At 48.9% G+C, this 14,836-nt stretch overlaps 1 protein-coding gene across 3 annotated transcripts in view; it reads right to left on the reverse strand.

The window, feature by feature from the left end:
- Positions 1-4,000: 4,000 nt before the first annotated feature.
- The window catches only part of SPDYE10 (speedy/RINGO cell cycle regulator family member E10), a 51,424-nt gene continuing 40,588 nt past the window's right edge, over positions 4,001-14,836 (reverse strand). For 2 of the 3 annotated variants that reach the window (NM_001382505.2, NM_001382504.2), the window contains 7 exons: positions 12,116-12,698; positions 10,915-11,133; positions 9,823-9,881; positions 8,510-8,595; positions 6,560-6,803; positions 6,333-6,437; positions 4,001-5,479 (listed from right to left, as the gene is read on the reverse strand). In NM_001382505.2, coding sequence (NP_001369434.1) covers positions 6,378-6,437; positions 6,560-6,803; positions 8,510-8,595; positions 9,823-9,881; positions 10,915-11,133; positions 12,116-12,245 — 798 coding nt within the window. In that variant the 5' untranslated portion in view covers positions 12,246-12,698 and the 3' untranslated portion in view covers positions 4,001-5,479; positions 6,333-6,377. Of the gene's footprint in view, positions 6,438-6,559; positions 6,804-8,509; positions 8,596-9,822; positions 9,882-10,914; positions 11,134-12,115; positions 12,699-14,836 lie in introns of those variants that run through there. The other variant, XM_047420707.1, reaches the window with a different exon arrangement.

A 14,836-nucleotide genomic window follows, 5' to 3' on the forward strand; every position in this document is an offset into this window, starting at 1 on the left:
ACGAGGGGCCCCAACAGAGGAAGAAACCAGGTGAGGTGTGGTATAGTGGACTCGACTGCCTTCTAAATCTCAGTGGTTGTCCGGGTGCGGTGGCTCACGCCTGTAATTCCAGCAAAAGAAGAGCCGAGGCAGGGTGATCACGAGGTCAGGAGTTCAAGACCAGCCGGGCAAACATGGTGAAACCCCGTCTCTACTGAAAATACAAAAATTAGCCAGGTGTGGTGGCGTGTGCTGTAGTCCCAGCTACTAGGGAGGCTGAGGCAGGAGAATTGCTTGAACCTGGGAGGCGGAGGTTGCAGTGAGCCGAGATTGTGCCACTGCACTCCAGCCTAGGTAACAGAGCAGGACCCCATCTCAGTCAATCAATCAATCTCAGTGGTTGAACTACCCTTGATATGGTTCAGCTCTGTATCCCCAACCAAATCTCATGTCCAATTGCAATTCCCAGTGTTGAGGGAGGGACCTGGTGGGAGATGATTGGCTCATGGCGGCTGACGTCCCCCTTGCTGGTCTCGTGATAGTGAGTGAGCGCTCATGGGATCTGGTTGTTTAGAAGCATGCAGCACCTCCTGCTTCACTCTCTCTGTCTCTCCTGCTCCACCATGGCCAGAAACGTGCCTGCTTCCCCTTCGCCTTCTGCCGTGATTGTCAGTTTCTTGAGGGCTCCCCAGCCATGCTTCCTGTACAGCCTGCAAAACTGTGAGTCAATTAAACCTCTTTTCTTCATAAATTCCCCAGTTTCCAGTAGTTCTTTATAGCAGTGTGAAAACAGACTAATGGACCCTTCTGGTTGAAGGAATGTAGCCATTCTGCTTGTTTAAGTATTTCCTTTCTATTCATCTCTATTTCCCGGGAGGTGTTTATCCAAGTGCAATAGGAGATATTGGTGACTGCAGAGTCCCCTCAGTGTTCTGCTAGTAAATAGTTGAAGGTTGATCAGTGATCTCCAGCATTTTCAGTCTGGCATGGAAAAGCCCCCATGTAACTGGTAAAGGTATCAGTAAGCACCAGGAGGTATCTAAATCCACCAGGAGCCATAGGCATCATGTTGATGTCCATTTACCAGTCTTCCCTGGCAAGATTCTCTGAATTGTACTGCCTTGGCCAAAAGAGGTATGGGAGGGGCTGGGCACAGTGGCTCACGCCTGTAATCCCAGCATTTTGGGAGACCAATTCGGGTAGATCATTAGAGGTCAGGGGTTCAAGACCATCCTGGCCAACATGGTGACATTCCATCTCTACTAAAAATACAAAAAGTCAGCGGGGTTTGGTGTTGGGTGCCTGTAATCCCAGCTACTCGGGAGGCTGAGGCAGGATAATCACTTGAACCTGGGAGGAGGAGGAGGTGGCAGTGAGCTGAGATCTCGCCATTGCACTCCAGCCTGGGCAACAAGAGCGAAACTTCATCTCAAAAAATAAAAAAAGAAGTCTGGGTGTGGTGGCTCGTGCCTGTAATCCCAGGACTTTGGGAGGCCAAGATGGGTGGATCATGAGGTCAGGAGTTCAAGACCAGCCTGGCCTAGATGGTGAAACCCTGTCTCGAGTGAAAATACAAATATTAGCTGGGCATGGTGGCACACACCTGTAATCTCAGCTACTCAGAAGTCTGAGACAGAAGAATTGCCAAAACCCGGGAGGGAGAGGTTGCAGTGAGCCGAGATCGCGCCACTGCACTCTAGCCTGGGCGACAGAGCAAGACTCCGTCTCGAAAGAAAGAAAGAGAAAGGAAATTCCCCAGGGAAGTACCTCGGCTTATTTCATGAAGAGGTACTGAAGGAAGCAGAGGCATGTGGAGGACTTCCCCACCTCGTGCAGCTATTTGGGCCGTGGCGTCTGAAATTTCTTATTTCAGAGTCACCCCTTTGATGACCTTGGCAGTGGACTGCAGTCATCTGTTTAGGCCTCTCCATGGCCCGTGTCAATGCCGATATTTCTGTCTGTTGCACATTTGATTTCCTTGTTGTTGGCATTTAGAAGGCCCCCTGTTTCCCAGATCACACCACGGGCATGGACCGCAGAGATTGCATCTTGTGAGTCTGTAGAAACAGTCAAGGCCTTGTCCTCTCTTAGGTCCAGAGCTCAGGTGAATGCAGATTTTCCCGGCCATCTGTGCTGAAGTCCCTGTGGGGAGGCTCCTGGCTGGTTTCCTGTAGGTAGACAGCTACACATCCTGCCCTTCATTGGCTTCTTTTCATGAAGCTCCTGCTGTCTACAAAACATGTCTCCCTTTTCTTCTTGAACCACATCTCTGTTATTGAAACTCTAGAAGTCAGCCAGGCACAGTGGCTATGCCTGTAATCCCAGCACTTTGGGAGGCCAAGGTGGGTGGATCACCTGAGGTCAGGAGTTCAAGACCAGCCTGGCCAACATGGCGAAACCCTGTCTCTAATACAAATACTAAAATTAGCCAAGCATGGTGGCCACTGCACTCCAGCCTGGGTGACAGAGCAAGACTCTGTCTCAAATAAAGAAAGAGAAAGTATCATGCTTTTCAGAGTTCTGTGGGTTGTTATGGTGAATTATCAAACCTGAGGACGTGGTGGGAACCTCCAAATTTGCAGCCAGTTGGTGAGAAGTACATGCGGTCTGTGGACACCCAAGCTTGCAGCTGCATCTGAAGCGAGGGCAGCCTAGCGGGGGCTGGTGGCCTTAACCTGTGGCATTTGATGTAACATCAGGGAGTTGACATCAGAATTACGTCACACAGGCCAGGTGCAGTGGCTCATGCTTATAATCCCAGCAATTAGAAAGGCAAGATAAGAAGATTGCTTGAGCTTGAGTCTGAGCCCACAGTGAGCTATGACCGCACCACTGCACCCCAGTCTGGGTGACAGCACAAGACCCCGACTCCAAAAATAAAAAAGAAAAATCACAAAGAATTGCATGGCAGAGTGCCTGTCTTTCACAGCTTGAACTGTTGCAGGAACTTTCTTTTTTTTTTTTTCTTTTGTGATGGAGTCTCGCGCTTTCACCCAGGCTGGAGTGCAGTGGCGCGATCTCTGCTCACTGCAGGCTCCGCCTCCTGGGTTCACACCATTCTCCTGCCTCAGCCTCCGGAGTAGCTGGGACTACAGGCGCCTGCCACCGCGCCCAGCTAATTTTTTGTATTTTTAGCAGAGATGGGGTTTCACCGTATTAGCCAGGATGGTCTTGATCTCCTGACCTCATGATCCACCCACCTCAGCCTCCCAAAGTGCTGGGATTACAGTCCTGAGCCACCGCGCCTGGACTTTTTTTTTTTTTTTTGAGAGGGGTTGGGGAGACATATTCTCTGCTAGTGATTCTCCTGCCTGGTCTCGAACTCCTGCTGGGATCACAGGCGTGAGCCACCATGCCCAGCCACCTTTAGAGTTTTCTTACCACCTGGTTTTCCTCTCTCAATATCTTTCTCTCATTTCCTGCTTTAAAACTCTAGCTTGGGGTCTGGGCACAGTAGCTCATGCCTATAATCCCAGCACTTTGGGAGACTGAGGCGGGTGGATCACTTGAGGTCAGGAGTTTGAGACCAGCCTGGCCAACATGGTGAAACCTTGTCTCTACTATTTTTACAAAAGTTAGTCAGACGTACAGGCGGATGCCTGTAGTCCCAGCTACTTGGGAGGCTGAGGCAGGAGAATTTGCTTGAACGCGGAGGTGAAAGTTGCAGGGAGCCGAGGTTGTGCCACTGCACTCCAGCCTGGGAGACAGAGCGAGACTGTCTCCAAAACAAACAAACAAACAAACAAACAAAAAAACCCTGTAGCTTGGGATCAGCCTTCTCTTCTGTTGTTTTTCTTTAAAAAATAAAAATTAAAAATAGGCTTCAAGTGATCCTCCCGCCATGACCTCCAAAACTGCTGGGATTGTAGGTGTGAGCACTGCACCCAGCCGTATGTTTTTTTCTACATAAAAAACAGCACAGGATTATCTTCCAAAGCTAACAAATATGTTCAAATAACCACAACCCCATTAAGGAAAAATGTCACTTGACAGCAAATAATCAATCCAGACCACAATATGATCACACTCACTGTGAAGGTGAGAAAAGTTCATCTTTATTATGTTTCCCCAAGAGATGCACTGCACTGTTCTCTTGAAAACACACAGCTCATGTCCTCCTTTAGAACACACATCCTCTTTAAAGTAACATACAAACATGCCAAAACAAGATAAAAAATTCCATCTGAATTCTCACATTTCAAACATACACTAAATATCAAATAAAAATTTATTTTTACAAGAATTTAGGGGAACTACCACATAGCTATAAATGTAATATATATGTTAACTAAGTATCATAGATAAAAACCATGCTCCCTTCAGCAGCACGTGTAATAATAGATACAAAGATTGAAAGGTAAAAGATTTAGGATGAAAAGAATCCTCTCTTAAAAAGGAAAACAAAATTATATGTATGTGTATACAACAGTTATAATACCCATCACACAGCTTTATAGAAACAGCATCTATTCAAAAATACCAGTATTTCCAAAATATTTAAAATAATATTTAAAGTAATAATAATATTTAAATAAATAAATATATTTAATAAATATTTCAGTAAATAAAATATTTAAATAATTCTATACCCATGTTTTTCAAAATAAACCAATAAAATAGATAGTATATATTAGACGTGTTAGTATATATATCTGAGACATGTTAAAAATCACAACTGAATTCTCACAAGTCAGTCACAAACCTAAACAGCAAATAAAAATTTCTATCACCAGAATTATGTTTTTTTCTGGTGGGGAACTACCAATAGCTATAAATAGAAGAGATTATTATGGAAGTATCATAGATAAAAAGAGTGCTCGCTTCAGGAGCACATATAATAATACAGAAAAAAATTTAAAGATAATAAAAGATTTAGGATAAAAAGAATTCTCACTTAAAAATGAAAAGAAAATTATCTTTAGGTATATATAACAACTATAACTCTCATCAAAAAACTCTACAGGAACAGCATGTTTTCAAAAGTACAACAATTTCCAAACTATTTGAAATAAACCTATTAATAATTCAATGGCCAACATTTTCCAAACAAACCAATAAAATGCATAGTGTGCATGAAGCTATCTGTTACAGTCTGTGGCACTCATATTTCACAAAGAATTCTGTGCCAATCTGAGCCCCTGCACTGTGCCTTCAAATGCTCCTGGACTGTGGCAACCAAGTCCATAAGAAACAGGACCTCCAGGTTCCGCCCCAGGGAGGTTGGCATTCAGCAATATAAAAAGGGAGGTGGTGCCGCAGGAAAGGGTGGAACTGGAAACACTCCTGGTTTCTTACTTTTCTCCAAGGACTCCTAGAAGTACCCCACCCCACCCCTGCTCCTTGGAGGACAACGTGATCACTGTATTCAGCTCTGTCAAGAATGGTCCAGGTTCTTCTAGATGATCTGCACAAATGGTTCCTCTCCTCCTTCCTGATGTCTGCCATTAGCATTGGAATAAAGTTCCTGCTGAAAATCCACATCTCCCCTGGGTCCGGTGTTCTGGAAGTGAGAGAGACAATGTCACACTTCAAGGAGGCAGCTCTCTAGACAGGAAGGTTATTCACGTCCCATGTCAAGTCTAGCTAGAGTTCAGAGCAATTGAGAAGTGCAATTTTATCTCCTGCCTTTCATTCTATACCCTGCTTCTGAACCATCGTGTTCAACTGTGAAACTCACACTTTGGTGACCCTGACTCCAAAACTTAATACACCCAAGGTCAGCCCCAGTGATCTGCTTCATAGCCAGGACTTTGGGTGGGTCTTCCCAGGGAGTAGGGCACCCTCAGAGAATGTGGCTTTGGACTTCATCACAGCTGGGGCCTTTTGTGTCACTTCAGATCTAAACTTGTAACCGTGCTAGATCTGTTTCTAACGTGACAACATCACGAACCACGAGTCCAGAAGCCTAATCCATAATCCTCCCTCCTCATGACGAAGTCTCATGCTCTGTGCTCAACATGGTTAGCTGCACAAGATGTAAACCAAAGCTTCACTGAACCCTCGACCCAAATCGGTAACTCAAGTGCATCAATCATAATGAACCTCCCCGAACTCAGTATTTATGATTATTTTTGAGGCAGGGTCTCACTCTGTCGCCCGGGCTGGAGTGCAGTGGCAGGATCAGGGCTCCCTGCAGCCCCGACCTCCCAGGCTCCAGCGATCCTCCCGCCTCAGCCTCCTGAGTAGTTGGGAGTAGAGATGCCTCCCACATCGCCTGGCTAATTTTTGTATTTTTGTGGAGAGGGGATCTCGCCACGTTGCCCAGGCTTGAAGCCAGATCAAGCAATTGGGTTCCTTGGATTTCCGAAATAGACCCCAATATTCTGCCTTTACCCCGGAGGATGCAGATGTACCTTCTCTCAGGCCGATGACCTCAGGCCTCCACGGTCCCTGGAGCTCTAGGAAAGGTGGGCGCGATCTCGCGCCCACACCCAGTGCTCTGGGTCATAAGCCTGGATCTGGAAAAACAAACGCGCTTTGAGAAGACGGGGACTCCCCAGGATACCCCTCTCTCCCCTCGTCCAGCCTCCAGCCCACCCGATTCCTCCCCACATCCTCCACGTCCCCAGGCCCCACCCACCTCTTCCAACTCCTCCAGGGAAACCCAAGCCCTGCAGCGCATGGAACAAAAGAAGTGGAACCGATACTTCCGGAACAAGGCTATCTGAGAGCAGTTCTTCCTGGCCCTCGGGTTCATGTAACGGCATAACTGGAACCAAAGCTCACTGAGCAAGGGTATATGAGAGCGGGTCTCCTCGTACAGGAAGTAGAAGATGTTTTGTTTGGGGGCCTCGTCGTCCTCCTCCATGTCATTGGCCAGATAGCTGAGGACAGAAATCAGGTTGCTGCTCAGGGGCACCACCAGGAGAGACCTCCGGCTGAGGTCAGCTTCTCAGAGAGGAAGGTAAGGGACCGTCCCTAGCTCAGGACTGGCACCCACCCTGCAGAGAGCCACGCCTTCCTCAGGAGGGCTCTGCTGGACAGAGACCTGATCAAGGGCGTCTCCCACTCCTTCAGGATGGAGACAAAAACCCAACTGGTGACCAAGAGTGGTGGCTTATGCCTGGAATCCCAGCACACTGGGAGGCCGAAGCAGGAGGATCACTTGAGGCCAGGAGTTTGAGACAGGCCTGGGCAACATAGCAAGACCCTCGTCTCTATTAAAAATATAAAAAATACGCCAGACGTGGTGGCTCATGCCTGTAATCCCAGCGCTTTGGAAGGCTGAAGCAGGTGGATTGCTTGAGACCAGGAGTTTGAGACCAGCCTGGTCAACACAGAGAAACCCCATCTATACTAAAAATACAAAAATCAGCCTGGTGCGGTGGCACACCCATTAGTCCTAGCTACTCAGGAGGCTGAAGCATAAGAATTGTGTGAACCCAGGAGGCGGAGGTTGCAGTGAGCCAAGATTGGGCCCCTCCATTCCAGCCTGAGAGACACAGCAACACTCTTGTCTTGATAAATAAATAAATAAATAAATAACTGTCCAGGTGTGGTGGTACAGCCCTGTAGTCGGAGCTAATCAAGAGGCTGAGGTGGGAGGATCGCTTGAGCCCAGGATATGGAGGCTGCGGTGAGCTATGATCTCACCACTGCACTCCAGCTTAGGGGACAGGGCAAGTCTGTCTCAAAAAAAAAAAAAAAAGCAATTGAATACACTGATATTTTGCCAGGACCCTGCCTTCTACAGGCATCTAGTCTAATGGGACTGGGAGTAATCAGGGGAGATGACCTAATCCCAATGTCACATTATAATAGGATGTAACTGGAGAGCTACGGGCATGCAGAAGTTGGAAGACGAGGGAAGGCATCACAGAGGCTGTGGGGTGAACCGACTTCAAGGAATGGGTCCTTCCCTTCAGAACCACATGTGTGTGGGACACCCAGACAGAAAACACAAATGCAAAGTCAAGTGGAGGGCATTTGGAAGGAGCAGTGAAGCCAAGCCAGGAAACACCAAGATGGCGAGCCAGTGTGGTTGTAGAGATTGTAGAGAGGGTGGAATTGGCACTGTGGACCCTGGCCTCGATAGAGAAAGACATCAGCTAAGGAAGTTGTTCAGGTGGGCAGTGAGGTTGTCGTGCTTTGGAAAGATGTTCAGGCTGCACTAGGAAGCCCCCTGGCTTGGGGAGAGACTCCAGGAAACCCCAGCAGGGAGCATTTGACAGTGGATTCGAGTGATGCAAGGGGGACCTGGACTGTGACCTCTGTCACGGGAACCCGGAGGAGGCTGATGGCTTTTGCGGTTGATGTGGGAAGGAGAGAGAACAACCGGAAACGTCTGCTTGCTGGGGGAAGTGTCATGTCCGCTCCTCCGCTCCTTTTCTTCTCCCCTTAGGAGCGGTTCATGGTTCCTTTTGTTTTTTGTTCTTTTTTTTTTTTTTTTTTGAGACTATAATCCTGTCTTTTTTGTACACAGAGTAAAGAGGACAAATAGGTGAAAGAATAAATGAAAGGCTGGAATCCCACTTCCCCCGCTGTCCCAGGGCATTGGATATTGATGGATAGGAGGCAGCAAACCACTCACAGAGCCAGGAAGAAATGAATGCGTTGGTATTGCCAGGAGGGGAGGCCGGCCCGGCTGAAATACGCTATGACCATAGCCAGGAGATACTGATGGAGAGAAAGGAACACAGAGAGGGAGAGGTCACATCTTGGGAGAGGAAGATTGTGGATATAGTGGAATGGGGGTCTGGGGAGGGGTTGCCCATCAGAGAAGGGACCTCAGTGTTGGGGTGACTGTGCTCATGTGGAAATTGCGGGGTGGAGGGGTATTCGAAGGTCGGATGCAAATCCGAGAAGCCGGAGGAAGGGTTTTTGGTGATGCTCCCAGGATGGTGGGCTCCGATGGGATCTTTGGAGGGGGTGTGTCTAGGTCGGCTGGTGTCAGGAGGGTCTTTTGTGTGCCAGGCAGAGAACTGTCCCAAGGAGCTGAGAGTAGAGGGCCCAGGAGCTTCAGGGCTGCAGCCAGACTGTGGCCCAGGGCTCAGATCCCAAAGGACCCATAGGAGAGGCAGGGGCCACTCATTCACTCTGCAAGAGACCAGCAGAATCCTGACGGAGATGCTGACAAATCATAAAAAGACAAAGAATAGCCGGGAGTGGCAGCTCAAGCCTGTGATCCCAGTACTTTTTGAGAGGTGGAGACAGGAGGATCATGTGAGCCCAACAGTTGGAGAACAACCTGGGCAACACAGCGAGACCCTGTTTCTAAGAAGATTTCAAAAATTAGTTGAGCATGGTAGCATGTGCCTAGTCCCAGCTCCTCAGGAGGCTAAGGAAAGAGGATTGCTTGAGCCCAGGAATTAGAGTGAGCTATGATCATGCCACTGTACTCCATCCTGGGGAGCAGAGCTGGACTCTGTCTCAGAAAAAAAAATGTGTGGGTGCCAAGACTCAAGACCATGGGAGCTGGTCAGACACAGTGCTGACGTCTGTAATCTCAGCACTTTGGGAGGCCAAGGCGGGTGGATCACCTGAGGTCAGGTGTTCGGGACCAATCTGGCCAACATGGCAAAACCCCGTCTCTACTAAAAACACAAAAATTAGCCAGGCGTGGTGGTTCATGTTTGTAATCCCAGCTGCTTGGAGGCTGAGGTGGGAGAATCGCTTGAACCCAGGAGGCATCAGCTGCAGTGAGTCAAGATCGAGACACTGCCCTCCAGCCTGGGCAGCAGAGCAAGACTGTGTCTCACAAAAAAAAACAAAAACAAAAACAAAAAAAAACTGTAGGAGCATCTGGTGGGAGGTGGTGGACGGAGAACTGTGGGTTTGGAAGCTGCGCCCTCCCCCTGGCCGTGCGTTAGAACAGGAACACAGTTACATAGAGAACAACCTTACCTTGTCCGACACCCTCAGATCTTTGTCCCAGGCCAGGAGTCTTTTAATGACAGGATCCTCTGTGATTAGAGAGCAGATGTCAGTGTGAGAAGCAGGACAGGGTTTCCGTGAGAGCAGCAGGGCAGCGAGGAGAAGTGTGCCTCCCGGGGGAAAGTCTCAGGATTGTGGCCGCGGGTGAGGTGGATGAGAGAGGGGAGAATGACTTTCACTGGGCAAGGGAGAGAGGCTCCTGCTCTGAGACTCCCCTGAGAAGAGGCCGAAGGAGGCCCTGGGTGTGAGAATCTACAGGATGTAGAGCTGGGAATCAGCCAGGACCCCCTCCAGCAGACACGGAGGGACCACTGCAGAGTCATAAAGGAATTCCCATCATTTCCTCATGAGACAGTCACACATCAGGGTGTGACCATGGCCTTGGGATCCCTCACTATGGATGGAGACACTTAGGTTTAGAAAAGTCAGTAAGAAACATTAAGTTTCAGAGGGCACAGCTGAAACCACTTTTTTGATTTTTGATTTTGTTTTTCTTTATTTGATTTTTATTTTTATTTATTTATTAATTTATTTTGAGACAGAGTCTTGCTCTGTGGGCCAGGCTGGAATGCATTGGCCTGATCTTGGCTCACTGCAACCTCTGCCTCCTGGGTTTAAGCAGTTCTCCTGTCTCAGCCTCCCGAGTAGCTGGAACTACAGGGATGAGCTACTGTGCCCAGCCTTGGTTTTTCTTTTGACGCAGAGTTTTGCTCTGTCACCCAGGCTGGAGTGCAGTGGTGCAGTCATAGCTCACTGCAGCCTCAAAGTCCTGAGTTCAAGCAATCCTCTTGCCTCAGCCTCCCAACGTGCTGGGATCTCAGGCGGGAGCCACAGCGCCTGGCCCAAAACCAAGCTTTCTTATCCCAAGCACCGACCTTTATCAAGTCTACCTAATCCTCTGTTGTCTCCTTAAGTGTCCCTCATGAGTGATCACTTCAGAGTCCTCCCGCATGGAGAGCTCACCCACTGGGGCATATTTTTCCCATTGGAAAAGTGTGGTTATTGGAAGTTTCCTCTTTAGAAAGAACAGGATTGGAGGTGCTCTCTGGGGTGTCCTCCTACCAAGCAGCCTGTTGAAGGCCTCGTAGTACTCAGGGAGCACGAGCGACACTCGCCGTCGCTTCGCCTTCATCTTGAGGCCACACAGCGTCTCCGCCACCCAGGTCTCCTCAGGCTCAGGGGCGAGCTCCTTCTCTGGCTCATCATCAGATTCATCCAAACATTCTCTCTTCCTTTTCCAGCCAAGGGACCTACGTGGGGGGCTGGGATCTACCCCAGGGGCTGAGTAAAGAAACCAGGCCACCGTGTAATGCTTCTGCAACTGATCACGTTAGACCCCGACCCCAAACCCCAAACCACTCTCCATCCTCCCCAGCCTCGCAGACTGCTGGCTTCTCCAAGCCACCTTTCTGACTTTCTCCTCTGCTCAACCCCATGTGCCACTCCTTCCCCTCCCCATTCTTCCCTCTCTCTGTCCTCAGAACACTGCCTCATATCCTTCCCTGGTCCCTGGCTCTCTGAGTCCCTCTTTTTTTTTTTTTTTTTTGTTTCGAGACAGAATCTTGCTTTGTCACCCAGGCTGGAGTGTAGTGGTGCAATCTCAGCTCACTGCAACATGCATCTCCCGGATTCCAGTTATTCTCCTGCCTCAGCCTCTCAGGTAGCTGGGATTACAGGTGCCTGCCATAATGCCCAGCTCCATTTTGTACTTTTAATAGAGACAGGGTTTCACCATGTTGGCCAGGCTGGTCTCAAACCCCTGGCCTCAAGTGATCCGCCTGCCTTGGCTTCCCAAAGTGCTGGGATTACAAGTGTGAGCCACTGCACCCAGCCTGAATTTCTCCATTCTTCCCACACACCCTCCCCAGGTTCTCCTTCCTGACCTCTGACCCTTCTTTTTTTTTTTTTTTTTTTTTTTTTTTTTGAGATAGCATCTCACTCTGTCACCCAGACTGGAGTGCAGTAGCACGATCTCGGCTCACTGCAACCTCTTCCTCCCAGGCTCAAGTGATTCTCCTGTCTTAGCCTCCCAAGTAGCTGGGATTATAGGCACACACCACTACCACCTGGCTAATTTTTGTACTTTTAGTAGAGATGGGGTTTCACCATGTTGGCCAGGCTGGTCTTGAACTCCTGACCTCAGGTGATCTGCCCGCCTCAGCCTCCCAAAGTGTTGGGGTTACAGGGGTGAGCCACCACGCCTGGCCCCCTTCCTTCATCTTAGTCAATCCTATGCCACCTCTTCTTCCTCCAGTCCCCTCACCTGATGGTCCCGACACTTCATCATCCACCACCTCCTGGAGGGGGTACCCTGAGGTGCTCCGCTGGGGGCTCCGCTCTTCCTGGGGCTGCGGTTGATGGCTCATCATGATCTTTCCCAAAATCTGTCCCATCTCACCAAACCTAGTCTCTGTTCTGTCCTTGGTCTTCTTCTGGACACTGCTGGGATCCAGAAGAGTGTGTTATCAATTCTCGAGGCTGGGAGAAGTCAGGAGTGGAGAACAGCTCTGAGAAGTTACTGTTGTCCAACTGAACTCCCAGGTGCCGACAGAGTCCGGTCCCTCCAATCAGGAAGGTCGGAATCTCTGATGTCATCGCTCATGCCAACCTGGCAACCAGTTTGAAAAAAAACACATGTAACTGCCAGGCTGATCTCTTGTCCTGGAGATCCTGGGTGAATGGTATCTCCTGCCACTGTCCCAACCTCAGACCACTGTCCAAAAGCATCTTCAGGGTCTCCGCATCCCTCTGTTCCCTGTCCCAGCAGAGGCTGTGTCCTCTCCACTCAAAGCTTGAAGCGTGTTGGGGTCTCCTCTTCTCTGTACATGCCCGTTTCAGAGTCCAGTCTGGTGGGAGAGGGATCAGGATGGGAAAGAAAAGTAGGGTAAGCAGAAACGATGAAACCTTACAAGAGTGAGATTACCATGTACAAGAGATCCCAGGAACATTGACTTGATGAAAAAGTCACATCAGAGCACTCAATTTGGCAGAGGTTTTCTGCCGAGTGTCTACTGACATTCACTGTCCGAGATTCTGTACTGGGGGTACACGCGTCCTCTGCCCTAAGGCATCTTTGAGTCCAAGAGATATTTTGAGGACTGGAAATCATAGGAAACTGCCCATGAGTTCACACATATTTCCAATGGTGTCCCCAATTTCAGGGAGTCCACGGATCACCTAAAGCCAGCCCCTCCAGTTTGGCTAAGAAACTCTATATATCAAGTTTTGTATCATATGTATTGCTCTTAACTCAGAAAATTCCACCATTTATAGCAGTGGTTTATTTATTTATACCATTGAAGGAAATGGTTTATTTATGAATCTATATTATGGATATTCTATAAGATACTGGGTGTACAAAAAGACTAAGTCGAAAAATCTCAGCTGTGCACAGTGGCTCATGCTTGTAATCCCATCTCTTTGGGTGGCCAAGGGAGGAAGACTGCCTGAGGCCAGCAGTTCAAGACCAGTATAGGCAACATAGCAAGAGCCCATCTCTAAAACAAAACAAAACAAAACAAAACAAAATTAGCCAGGTGTCGTGGCTGGCACCTGTGTTCCAACAACTTGAGAGACTGAGGTGGCAGGAGGATTGCTTGAGCCTAGGAGTTAGGGGCTGCAGTGAGCTGTGATCGTGACACCGCACTCCAGTCTGGGCAACACAGCAAGACCTTGTGTCAAAAAAATTTTTTTAATTAAATATAAAAGAGTTTCATGACATTCAGAGACCATCCAAAGAACCTGTGGGTTCCGGCCAGGCACAGTGGCTCACGCCTGTAATCCCAGCGCTTTGGGAGGCCATAGCAGGTGGATCGCTTGAGGTCAGGAGTTTAAGAGCAGCCTGGCCAACATGGTGAAACCGCATCTCTACTAAAAATACAAAAAATTAGACGGGGCCAGGTGCCATGGCTCATGCCTGTAATCCCAGCACTTTGGGAGGCCAAGGAGGGTGGATCACGAGATCAGGAGATCGAGACCATCCTGGCTAACACCCCATCTCTGCTAAAAATACAAAAAGTAGCCAGGCATGGTTGCGGGCACCTGTATTCCCAGCTACTCAGGAGGCTGAGGCAGGAGAATGGCGTGAACCCAGGAGGCGGCACTTGCAGTGAGCCAAGATCATACCATTTGCACTGTAGCCTGGGCTATAAGAGTGAGACTCCGTCTCAAAAAAAAAAAAAAATAGCTGGGTGTGGTGGCACGCACCTGTAGTCTCAGCTACTCGGGAGGCTGAGGTGAGAGAATCGCTTGAATCCAGGAGGCGGAGGTTGCAGTGAGCCGAGATCGCGCCATCGCACTCCAGCCTGGGTGACAGAGTGAGACTCTGTCTCAAAAGAAAGAAAAAGAAAAAAAAAGAATATGCCGCAGTGCATTTGTTCATTTCTCCTGCTGGTGGACACTTGGGTCCTTCCAGCACCACTGTGAACATTGTGATGAACGTTCCTGCACACACACCTCTCTAGAACAGTCACCAGGAGCGGAGCTGCTGGGTCATGGGGTGTGGCTGAGTCCATTGCTGGTGCTGGGGTTTCCTTGGTGTTTGTACACCTTGCATTCCCACCAGCACATATGAGAGAATACTTTGTTTCAAATCTCTGCCAACACCGAGTATTCATGACACTGATCTTTTTGCAAGTGTAAATCAGATCATGTCACTCTCCCGATTTAAGCCCTATTTTTTTTTTTTTTTTTTTGGAAACAGAGTCTCACTCTGTCACCCAGGCTAGAGTACAGTGGCATGATCTCGGCTCACTGCAACCTCCGCCTCCCGGGTTCGAGCGATTCTCTGATCTCAGCCTCCCAAGTATCTGGGACTATTGGCGCACGCCACCACGGGTGTCTAATTTTTTGTATTTTTGGTAGAGACGATGTTTCACCCTGTCGTCCAGGATGGTCTTGAACTCCCAAGCTCAAACAGTCTGCCCACCTCGGCCTCCCAAAGTGCTGGGGTTACAGGTTGGAGCCACCCAGCCCAGCCTAGATT

The sequence above is a fragment of the Homo sapiens genome, chromosome 7, assembly GCF_000001405.40.
Source record: "Homo sapiens chromosome 7, GRCh38.p14 Primary Assembly".
Taxonomy (NCBI): domain Eukaryota; kingdom Metazoa; phylum Chordata; class Mammalia; order Primates; family Hominidae; genus Homo; species Homo sapiens.